The sequence below is a fragment of the Homo sapiens genome, chromosome 12 (assembly GCF_000001405.40).
Source record: "Homo sapiens chromosome 12, GRCh38.p14 Primary Assembly".
NCBI lineage: Eukaryota > Metazoa > Chordata > Mammalia > Primates > Hominidae > Homo > Homo sapiens.
In genome coordinates, this window is record NC_000012.12 from 106,084,956 (window position 1) to 106,097,395 (window position 12,440).

The 12,440-nt window shown below is 45.3% G+C and overlaps 1 protein-coding gene across 1 annotated transcript in view; it reads right to left on the reverse strand.

The window, feature by feature from the left end:
* The window catches only part of NUAK1 (NUAK family kinase 1), a 75,610-nt gene that overhangs the window by 21,611 nt on the left and 41,559 nt on the right, over window positions 1-12,440 (reverse strand). The window contains exon 3 of the mRNA NM_014840.3: window positions 1,779-1,930. Within this exon, the coding sequence (NP_055655.1) occupies window positions 1,779-1,930 (152 nt within the window). The remainder of the gene's footprint in view (window positions 1-1,778; window positions 1,931-12,440) is intronic.

A 12,440-nucleotide genomic window follows, 5' to 3' on the forward strand; every position in this document is an offset into this window, starting at 1 on the left:
TTTGACCATTCTTAATATCTCCAAAAGCACTGCTCAGAGGGAGAAATGAAAACATGTATTTCTACTAATCTTTTTCTAATTCAAGCCTGCAATGAGGTCTTCTGAATTCAGAAATGCACAAAACCGAGTCTGTTAGAAGAAAGATGTGGACTACAAGACACCTGATTCCATTAATTTTAAACATCAGGAGCAGTTTGGTTTACATTGCTGCATTCCTGGTTTTTGTAATAAGATGGAATGAGTCTAATAAAGCCTCATTCATACAGAATCCAAGTGTTCACACACTTCCAATATCAAAAATATCACCTCTGTGGTGATTTACAATGATACCTCATGATGAAATACAAAATATTATACGATTCAAATCATGAGCACATTTTGAGTCAACAAAGAGAGGTCAAATAATGTTCACATGAGTTAAGGGTTTTAGATTTGAGTAACTGTTCTCTAATTACTTACAGAGCCACTCTCAATTAAACATAATATTTAACAAACCAGGAGGCCCCATGTTGAGATCATTTATATGAAGAAGTTGACTCTGTTTTGGATGCCCTGTTGGACTCAAGTCACGTTATCCTCAAAGTAAATGACTGTTTAGGGTGTGACAGATCTGGAGAAAGTCTGAATGAGATGAAATTCATGGCCAAAGTGATGAATAACAATAATGGCTGAGACATGGCTTGTAGTTATCTGTGTACTTTATGCCTTTTCCAGAAACCAAGAGTGGCTCTACTGTGGCTATATTATTATTGTTATTATTATTATTTTGGAGATGGGGTCTCACTTTGTCATCCAGGCTGGAGAGCAGTGGCACCATCATAGCTCACTACAGCCCCAAACTGCTGTGCTCAAGGGATCCTCCTGTCTCAGCCTCCCAAACAGCTGGGACTACAGGTGCGCAACCTCATGCCTGGCTACTTTTTAAAAAAAATTTTAAAGATGGATCTTGCTATGTTGCCCTGGCTGGTCTTGAACTCCTGGGCTCAAGCAATCCTCCCCCCTCAGCCTCCCAACTAGCTTGGATTATAGGCATGAGCCTGTCTGCGGCCATCTTCTGAGCACATCCGTGCATGTAGGTAACCTATGCAAGAAAAGGCACCAAGAGCATAGAAAGGTTTCAAGAACATTTCTCCTAGTAATTCTACTTCTGGAATCTCTCTTAAGTAAATTATTCACATGAGAGGAAAATATTCATATATAAAGATACTGATCACTATTTGTCATAATCAGAAATTAGAAACAGTCTCAATGTCCAACAATCAAGAATTACAAAGAATTTTTAATAATATAGGAAAATATTTAGATTAAAGTATTAAGTAAAAAAGCATGACACAAACGATGTAAAAATGAATCCACCGTGGTACCCTAGATTGGATGCTGGAACAGAAAAAGGTCATTGGTGTCTCCATTTTGACAAATGTACCACAGAAATGTAAGATGTTAATATTAGGGTAAACTAAGAAAGGCATAGATAGGAACTCTCTGTACTACCTTTGAAACTTTCCTGTAAATCTAAAATTATTCAAAATTAAAAGTTTACATAAAAAAATAAATGTGAGAAGGAGGAGGAAGAAGACTGAAAGGAAACAAGCAAAAATGTCAAAAATAGATTATCCCTGGATTCCAGAATCACGGGTGATGGTAATTTTCTTCTTTCTAGTTCATAAATTCTCCATACATGCTCCCATGAACAGATATCACTTTTATAATAGGAAAAAAATCATGCAGTGCCATAAAAACCATCTACGGCCAAAGCTGCGGGCCAGGCGCAGCCATACCTTGTGACAATAGTGCACAGCAGAGACGATCTGCCGGAAGAAGTGCCGGGTCTCCCTCTCACTGAGGCGTCGCCGCTCACTGATGTAATCGTACAGCTCCCCTTTGCTGGCATATTCCATGATGATCACAATCTTATCTTTGTTCTCAAACACTGCAGAGGGAAAACAGCAATACACAAACACCCCGTTTAGCCAACAAGCTCACTTATGCTACAGAGAATGCGAGAGAGGACAACGGAGATGTCGCCAGGCAGAGGATCGACTGATGGGTCAGAACACAAATCAGCCAATTCAGCATCACGAGGCGTGGGGCGTGCTGTCCCGCCAGGTGGAAAATGGTGTGTGTCACCACCACTGTTCCTGGACACGCCTTTGTCATGCTAAGGGAAATGTGGTTCCCTTTTCTGAGGACCCCACTTTCCTTGTCAAGATCATTTCTCATACCCTCTCCCAGAACGGCTTTCCTGTAGACAGGATGATGGGTAACAACAAACACAACCAATAATTTATTAACCACTGGATACGGACCAGGTAGCCGGCCCTGACAGAGCTACTCTGACCCCAAAATGGGTGCTCAATCTTGTCATCTCTTTATAACTTCCCATCTCAGGCAAATAAAACCCAAAGCTTTTAATGTGGCCCACCAAGTCGTGCACGATCCCATGGGCCCCTCTCAGCCCTACTACACACCCATTCCATGTATTTATTTATTCTGTCTCCCCCAGTCAAATGTAAAAGGGGGTTGTCCTGTTTCACTCACTGGTGTATCCTCAGCACCCAGAACAGTATTTGGCACAGAGTAACATAGTAGGAGCTCAGCTAATATTTATTAAATGAGTAAACTCAAACTACATAAAGGCATTTCTGAACATTAATAATAAATAACAATATAGCACTTACTGTGCACCAAGTTTGTGTGTAAGGTTTTAAGTACCTCACATGTACTGACTCATTTAAACCCTATGACAAATAATCAGGGAAATATCTGTAATTTTACCATTTGAAAGATGAAGGCACTGAGGCCTAGGGAGGTTAAGAAACTGGCACGGCCTGCAATCAGGCAGTTTGGCGTCAAAGATCAAGTGCAGAACTACCAGATGAGATGGCCTCCCAAAGAGCTGGCTGGAATCAGCAGGGCTCCAGTCCCCAGCATGGATGGGGAACTAATGCCGCAGGTTGCAGGGCCGCTGCTACTATGATCTCAAGCCGGTTCCCGGCCACCAGGTCCAGCCCCTTCTCACTCAACCTCCACACCACCAAGGAAACAGTCTTCCCAAATGCTTGTAAATGCTTCTTTCTACCCAATGCTGATGCTCTCTAGCCGTTATGTTCAAAGTCAGGGTTCCAGGCAGATGGCCAGGGACCCATGCAAGGAGGCAGGGAGAAGGGAGGCCACAAATGACAGGCTGTCCAAAGCCACTCCATTGCCACCTGTTTCATACTTTGGACTTTCACATAAGATGTCCTTTGAGCAAGGATAAAATAAGCAATATTTGTTTTGAAATCCATCATCACTCTTAAGGGATATAGTACAAAAACCTTTGTAGGCTACCCAAGACCCTCCCTGAAGGTCCCCTGCCTACCTCCCTCCATCTCATCCACTTTTCTAACATTTCCATCAGGCCCCCTATGCCCAGCACCCTAATTCATTAGCCAAGACTGTGCTCATATGTGGTTTCCACAGCGCCCCTCCCACTGCACTAGTCAATACTTGCCTCATAGCACGTGCAAACTGTGCAGGTTTATTTCTTGGTTTACATACCCAGGTCCTCTGCCTAGACGGACAGAGCTAAAAACTATAGTGTTGGAATGAGATACTCCTAGGGCTGTGTGATTCTAGGGATGTTGCTTGCCCTCTCTGGGCCTCAGTTTAGTCAACTACAAAACGTGAATAATATTAGCAAGTACTTAGAACTGCTGGGAGGACTTATTGATACCAGTTTGTTCAATGTTTACAAGGCCTTCCCCTTACAGCATACACTCAATTATGTTAGCTATTATTGTTGCTATCAATATTAATTCATCCCCAGAGCCTAGCACCAAGGCAGACACACATTCAATGAAGAACTGAGTTGACCTGGAACCTACCCTAGGCCTGGGTCCCCTGTCCTCCCATACCTTGTTGCTGGCTGCTAGAAGCTCAGACCCCTCCAGTTCCTTTTTGGCTCCTTCAAGTCCAGCCAAACCTCCCTGATAAAATGAAGGGGGAAGGAGGAGGGTAGGGAGGAGGAGGAGGAGAGAACATCCAGATAAAATTGGCTGCTCCAGCGTCTGCTGGCCTCGGTGTACCCTGCAGCTTTGGCTCCTGCCAGGGATTTCAGCCTGTTGTGCACTTTTCATTAACAATAAACCTTGGAAACTGGAAACACCCCGACTGCCTCGGGATGCATGGCCCAGGCCCCAAAAATGAAAGAGTGATAGGCCCTGGAGAGGGCAGCGGGTTTTCTAATTTTAAAAAGGAGGGATGTAGGAAGAAGGAAAGTACTTTGACAGGTAAATAAACAAGAAGACTCACACCCCAAAGAGTCTGGCACGTCTTTAAGGGAGCCAAAGCCTCTGGCCCTTCAGCGACTGTCGGGAGGTGTGAGCCACTTGCCTCACACAGACAGAAGGGCTGTTTCAGTGGCTGGATTCTTCCCTCTCCAACTGGCTGATTTGGTATCAAGGAGACACAAACACAATTCGGTTCAATACAGTCCAATACACCAAATATTTTACTAAGCAGCTTCCATCAATCAGTCCTACTGATCCTGTCTCTACAATATATCCCGAGTCTGGCCAGGTACGGTGGCTCACGCCTGTAATCCCAGCCCTTTGGGAGGCTGAAGCAGGTGGATCACTTGAGGCCAGAAGTCACCAGACTGGCCAACATGGTGAAACCCCATCTCCACCAAAAATATAAAAAATTAGCCGGGTGTGGTGGCAGGTGCCTGTAACCCCAGTTACTGGGGAGGCTGAGGCAGGACAATAGCTTGAACCCAGGAGGTGGAGGTTGCAGTGAGCCGAGATCACACCACTGCACCCCAGCCTGGGCAACTGAGTGAGACTTCATCTCAAAAATAAAATAAAATATATCGCAGATCTGTCCACCTGTCTCACCTCCAAGGACATCCCTTACCCCCATCCTTTCTGGTTGCCAGACCTCACACTTGCCTCCCTGCTGACTGCATTTGGAGGGGTCAAGAAATAGTTCCAAATGCATATTCCATGGAGTACTCATTCTGCAAGCTATCTTGAAGAAGAAAAAATTCCACAGTCAAACCCAAGCCAAACATTAATACTTGATGGTCCTCAGAGAGCCTGGTTTCCTTAACTCAGAGTTCTGCCAGTTGATTGGGCCATTTCAATCCTCCTATTGGCATCCAGAAGAACTCATATGGAGCCAGTTTGGGAAACACTGGATGAATGAGATGATACCCGAGGGATAAAACTGGCCCCTCATTCTCTCAGGCAGGGCCAGTGAGCAATCTGGTCAGAGAACTGTCCGAGCAGCCAGGCCTGGCTCTGGGACACCATCCCCCAGTCCCCCATAGGAAGAAGCCCAAGTCTCACGGTCAAGGCCCTGTCACCTTAAATTAATTGAGAGCAAAGAAGATTTCTAGATTTCAAGCCTCAGTGTTTCATCAAGGAGGCCAGAGCTGTTACAGATGAAGCTTCTTGAAGCCTTTCTTAATAACAGCAAAATTTGCTGTAGGCTTACCATGTGCAGGCACCATGCTAATAATCATTCTGCATGAATTACATCATAAGGATTCGGTACTATGAGGATCCCCATTTTACAGATGAGAACACCTGGGGCGACAAGGTGAATAATAATTCCCATAACTACAAAGAGTACGAGGCATAGCCAGCACTGGGCCCAGCAGTCTGACTGCTACCCCCAAGCTCTCAGCCATTCCATTACTACTCATATATATCAACCCCTCTGACCCTCCGCCTCCTCATCAGTCCAATGAGACTAGTAATTTCCTCACAGGTCTATCGCCCTCAGCACGGTGCCCCGGCCAGTGCTCAACGAATGGAAGCTGTGCTCATAATTACTTCATCAGCCACTTAGGCAGCTCTAGCAAAACAAAACCCTAAGACTTTCCTCTCCCTGCTGGCATCGCTCTTTAAAACATGTTGTGGCTGCCACAGAATCACAGGATTTTCGAGCAGGAAAGGACCTTAGAGATTGGGTGTTATTTTTCCAGAATAGTCCAGGATTTATAATGTATAAGAGCAAGGCCTTGGGAATTAATACTGAAGAATGAGCAGCTTCCACACCCTTGGCCCAACGCTCCTTTGCCCGTGCTTAAGGTCACTATCTACAAGGTGACAGGGATACTCTTGGCCATTCTTCTAGCAAAAAAAGGCTGCTTCCCTTGGGCACTTTTACAACTGGTTATTTATAAGCCCAGAAATCTTGTCTGTGTTTATGTTATTAGTCACTAAGCAAAAGCTTATTTTCCACCAGTTGGGAAGGGTTTCCTTTCTGAAAAATGAAAGCCTGTGTCTCTTGGCCAGACAGTTTTACCCAGAGGCCCGGTGGCTCCAGAATGGTAAGGAAAACTATGGCCCTTGACATGCCAGGCCTACCAGGAAAATTAAATCCCTGAATAGAAACTTAGCTCAGCCTGAGTCAGCCCACAGCACTGGGGCCATGGCCAGGTGGTGTACAGCCTGGTTTTTAGCACAGCAGAAAGCACCTACTATGCAGATGGCACTGGGGATACCGAAAGAAGACTTTTCCCAGTTTGGAGGGGAAGGAAAGGCAGGCCAGGTAGAAGGGTCAGCATGAGGAAGGGAACAGAGCAGAAACAGAACCGCCAGCAGCTGGCAGGGCCAGGGACTAGGAGGAGAGAAAGAAGACGGCGATGAATAAAACACAAGACCTTGAAAGCCCACAAGGAGCTGCAGGTGAGTCACACAGGCAACCAAACATCGCCGAGAACAATCCAAGAGACAGGAGCAAGGCACAGGACAGCATCCAGGATCCTGGACCTGTGAAATTGTCTGGGGCTCAATTTTTTCCAGGAGACTTCCCAGACAGGGATCTCTCCTTCCCTAGAAAGCTTGTAATAAGAATAGTTAATATTTATTGAACAGTTACTACATGTCATGGATTAAAACATTTATTCCTCACAATAATCTTATGAGATAGGGATCCATATTATCCCTACTTTATAAATAGGGAACCAAGCCGGGGATGGTGGCTCACACCTGAAATCTCAGCACTTTGGAAGGCCGAGATGGGAGGATTGCTTGAGGCTGGGAGTTTGAGACCAACCTGGTCAACATAGCGAGACCTCATCTCTAAAACAAAAAATAAAATAAATAAATAAATAGGGCACCAGCACTCACATCAAGAAACAATATTGCCAGCCCCCTGCAAGCACCCCTGCCATGCCCTCTTTCTGTCATTAATCATCTCCCCAAAGATACAGATACACCAATACCATGAATATGAGGAATATGAACCAAAATCGTAGATGAGTTTTGAAGTTCTAAAAACTGGAGTCATAGCCGGGCGTGGTGGCTCATGCCTGTAATCCCAGCACTTTGGGAGGCCGAGGCGGGTGGATCATGAGGTCAGGAGACCGAGACCAGCCTGGTCAACATGGTGAAACCCCGTCTCTACTAAATATACAAAAAATTAGCTGGGCGTGGTAGTGGGCACCTGTAATCCCAGCTACTCAGGAGGTTGAGGGACAAGAATCGCTTGAACCCAGGAGAAGGAGGTTGCAGTGAGCCAGCCTGGTGACAGAGCGAGACTCTGTCTCAAAAAAAAAAAATGGAATCACGTAGTATACCTTCTTTTGTCATTAATTCAACATGTTTGTGAGAATAATCTACGTTGCTCAATGTCGTCAAAGATTGTTCATTCTCATTGCTCTAGAGTACTCCATTATGTGAATGTATCGTGTGGTTTATTTATCCATTCTACTGTTGATAGACATTTGGGCTGTTTCCAGTTGAGGGTTGTTATGAATAGTATTACTGTGGATATCCTTGTGCATGTCTTTTGATGCACATCTGTACGCATTTTTGTTGGGTAGATACCCAGCAAGATTGGATGGCAGATTTGTGCAACTCAAAAGCGCATGTTCTCGCCATGACTCTCCACCCCCTTCCTCCATCATACAGTTCTGCTTTTTGCATTACATCCAGTAAAGGTTCTCCTTCATTAAATGGAGCCAAACTTACTGATTTTTCTGAAATGGCTTTATTATCAGCCGATTTGAGGCATTTATCTGGGCATTTTGGTACATGTTAAAGGGAATACAAAAGAGGAGAAGGCACAGTCATTAACCCCAAGGAGTTGCTTTCGAGTTGGAAATGACCAGTACTTAAAAAATAATTCAAGAGCTAACCTGTACAGTACAGACTTTAAGTACCTGGACAATCAGAAAGATCAGTGAGGTCAGCCAGAAGGGGCCTGAAAAGATTTCTAGAAAAAGCAGGCATGGAACTGAACCACCCAAAATGACCTGGGTTTTGCTTTTGAGATAGTTTCACCATTGTTTCAACATATCCTAAAATACCCGAACTCTCCTTTTTCTTTGACTATTCCACTGGCAGGCCTTCCTTCTTCCCAGACACCAACTTAAATTATTTTTCTTGTTTGCTGTTTATTTTCCATTTCAAAGGATAGTAGGGATTGGTTGCTATAGCAACAGCTACTTCTCCACATTAATCCTGAATTTCATCAGATGTTCGGTTTGACAGTCCCGTTCTGCCCTCTGATCATCTGGTTTTCACAACCAGGCTAATGACCCAGCTCCCAGAGACTGCCTCCTGCAGCTCTCGAGGTTAACAACACAACTTGTAGAACTTGAGAAAATGTGTATTATAAAAACAGTGCTCTGGTCTGAGGGAAACGCTGATGAGTGAGGAGATCCTGGGATTTTAAGCATCCACTGGCCACGTGACAGCCGAATATACTGGACTGTTTTGGAAGAAAGAAGCCTGGAAAGCAGAGAGGATGAGGATGAATTTACAGGATGCCCCAGGAAGGGTCAGTTTTTAAAAAGGGACAATTTCTTTCTGTAACCTCCAGGGAGGAAGAGTCTTTTGTTGAGTTTTTTGGTTTGTTTGTTTGTTGAGACAGGGTCTTGCTCTGTCACACAGGTGGGAGTGCAGTGGCAAGATCTCAGCTCACTGCAACCTCCGCCTCCCAGGCTTAAGTGATCCTCCTGCCTCAGTCTCCCAAGTAGCTGGGACTACAGGCACGTGCCACCACTCCTGGCTAATCTTTGTAATTTTTTTTTTTCTTGGTAGAGACAGGGTTTCGCCATGTTGCCCAGGCTGGTCTCAAACTCCTGAACTCAAGCCATCCGCCCACCTCAGCCTCCCAAAGTGCTGGGATTACAGGCGTGAGCCTCTGCACCCAGCCCATCTGTTGATTTAAAAAAAAAAAGGCCTAGGGCCTAGCAGTGGCCCCAAGAGAATTCTCTCCACACCTTTGCCTTCCATCAGGTCCGTCTCCTAGGTGACAACCAGGGTGCTGCCATTTCTTCCACAGCATTGCCTCCCTAGGCAGCAGCATTTTTGTAATTTTCCCAAAATCTCGGACCGGAGTACCTTTCCACTCCTCAAGGGTGCTCTTTTATTAAAGGTCAGTACAGTCCTCACAGAAAGTAGCTTATCACTTCAAAAATGAAGTGATCTTTTCTTTGAAAGACTGTCTGCAAACCAGTTGAGTCATTTAGTCAATACAAGACTCATTCTTCAAAACTTTCCTCCCTAGAAGTCAATTTCAAACACCTCGTGGGCTCACAGCTTCACTAAATCGTCCTCTGATCTCTTGGATCTGAAAGCCCAGAGCAGTGAGGATGAGAAATTTAAACTGGCATCTCCCTGTCAATAAATCGGTCCGAGTTGATTCAGTGCAGTTCCTGGTTTGCACAACAAAAGACTTTTTTGTTCACTCACTGTCTTTTCTTGAACCAAAACTCTTTCTGGATGTTGGCTGGCATGCCCGAAGAAAACCACAGCCAATGAGGCCACCCACTGCCAGAAGTGGACTCCACGGAAGGCAGAAGAAATGGTAAGAAAGTGTAGAAGCCACCTGCAGAAGAGGGGATGCAGAAGCCTTGCCAAGACCCATCCGTGCCTGCTAGGATTAATAGTGCCAATGGGGCCCAATATCCAATCCTAGGAAGGCAGGGGACGTGGCCAGGATAGAGAGAGAAGTTGTGTGGGAGAGGGGACTTGACAACACCACACTGGACGAGCCACTGGACTCCACCCTCCTTCCACAACCATCCCTGGGGAGCATTTCTAGAAACCATGCAGGGCCCTAAGGTGGAAACGGGCGCTATCAGCCATCACCACAGGCTCATGATACACACTCCATATCACACACAACTCCACAGCCTCCCTGATCATTCCCTCTATTGCTCTGTCTCAGCTTTTGTGTCATACACAACACACACACACCACTCTTTCTCTCTCAAAAAAATTACACTCACTCACACAATCCTGAATGTGAGAAAGCCCCGGCAATTGATCAGAACCTCTCACAACTACCCCCAGAAAGAAGCAAGGGTTCTTGTACTTGATGCCGTGAACTTCTGAAAAAGCATGCTCCCCAATTCTGGCAGTGATGGGGGTAGAAATACCTCTGTGAAGACAGCCTTAGTCTTCCACCCCTGGAAACCCTGGCAGAGGGCTTTGGCACAGGGATTCATCTCACCATCACCACCTCACCAAGGTGGAAAGGCCAGGCCCGTGGTCCTCACACCTCTGGCTCCAGCCACTTCCCAGTTGGGTGACCTGGGCAAGTTACTTAGCCTTTCCGTACCTGCAGGCTCTTCCTCTGCTAAAATGAAGCCTCTACCTTACGTCTCACTGTGAATATTAGCACACAGCAGCAAGTGTACGCAGAAGTGTTAGCTGTTCCGATTCAGCAGCAAAGGGGAACTAAGGAAGACATCAACTCCAGAATTATGGGTATGCACTGGCAGAGTCCACACCCAAGGCTGCATTTGAGACCTTGAGGTATGTGTGTGATGGGTTGGAGGTGAAGGAATGGCAGAAATAGTGAATGAACACTTAAAGACATCAGAGGATTTGAGTGACCCCCAGTAAAAGCTGAGGTGAAGGCAAGCCTAGCTCTCTTTCATTCTTTTGGTCCCTAGGGCTGTTCCAAGCATGGGTGTCAATCTCTGAGCCATACCTACCAGAGGCACCTGCTGTCAGAAGTCATGGTGGGGAGCACAATCAAAAAAATTCCCAGACTCGGCAGGTTAAAAGTTACAGTTCATCTAATCTGACCCCCCTTTCAATATCCAAATCCCCACTGTTGTACATGGCCATTGTGGAGGCCCCTCTTCTGTGCTCTGTGAGCCTTCCCAAATGCATGCTGGTGACTGCCTGCGCAAATTAAGAAAGCTATCCCAGTTCATTCCGAAAGACCCCATAGTAAAGGGCAATAGAGTCTTTTTTTTTTCTTTAAAAATTAGTGTCAAGTATAAGTGTCATTATTTAAGGCACTAGAAAATATTGAATTCCAGGAAACCCAGGAGGGTGAGGCAGGACAGCCTGGGAGTAGCATTAGTTTGTAGCTGTTTTGTTTCTGATCTCCAGCCTCTAGAAAAATGACTTGGGTGTAATCAAAAGAAAACAATGAAAATAATAACTTGAAGGTCAAATAGCTAACTTAATAGGAAACTCATTAGAAACGTGGCTGGACAGGCTCACAGCTGAAGCACTCGTTCACATGATTACACGTGAAGAGAACTCTCTGGTGCTGTGTTACGAATAAGGGCGAGTCCTCAGTTTGGATCCAGTCTGCAGGGACTTCATGTGGAACGTGTGAATCTGGCGGCAGAGGGAGTGTGTTAAAATGCTCAACTATTTGCCATGGGTTCAAAGGAGTAAACACAAGCATAATACACTACTTTGCCAAGTTCAACAAACTGTTTCACGGGGCTCTGAGTCTCTGATGAGGGCAGCAACCCAACAGCTAAGTAAGTAAACCCAAGCCCGAAGGTATCATTCACTGCTCACTGGTGACCGCCGCCAGACACACGTTCTTCCCTGGAATTCACTGATGACAAACGATCAGACCAAGACAAGTTTCCAGAGCAGGGCTCGTTTTCTCTTTGTTGCAGGATTAAGCCTGTATTTCTCAGCCTGGTCAATTAAACTGGAATTTTTGGGGGTGAGACCCAGGCATCAGCATTTTTTACAAACTCCTCATGAGATTTTAATGTGCCTCCATCATTCAGAATCACTGATAGGCAAGCTGGCCTCAATCTTCTCTTCTCCAATCTCCCGACAGAAGTTTCTACTCCAGCCAGAAAGGACATCTCACTGATCCCTAGATATCACATCAGGAATAATCAATTCCATTTCTTGAGCATGGCCCTGGCACGGTACTTAGCAATTTTATTCATTAGCTCATTTAATCCTACATTATCTATAAAGCAGCTAGCTACTGGCCCCATTTTATAGACAAGGAAACAGCCTCAGAGAGCTTAGTCACTAGCCCAAGGTCACACTGCAGTAACTAGCAGTGCAATTGGCTCACTCAAATCTCAGCCTACGTGGATGACAAATTTATACTCTTGCCCTACTATTAGGTTCATGCAAAACTGATTGTGGTTTTCACCATTACTTTAATGAATGGTACCTGAAACAAAAGTGCTAATAGAATAGTACCTGGAACAAAAGTGC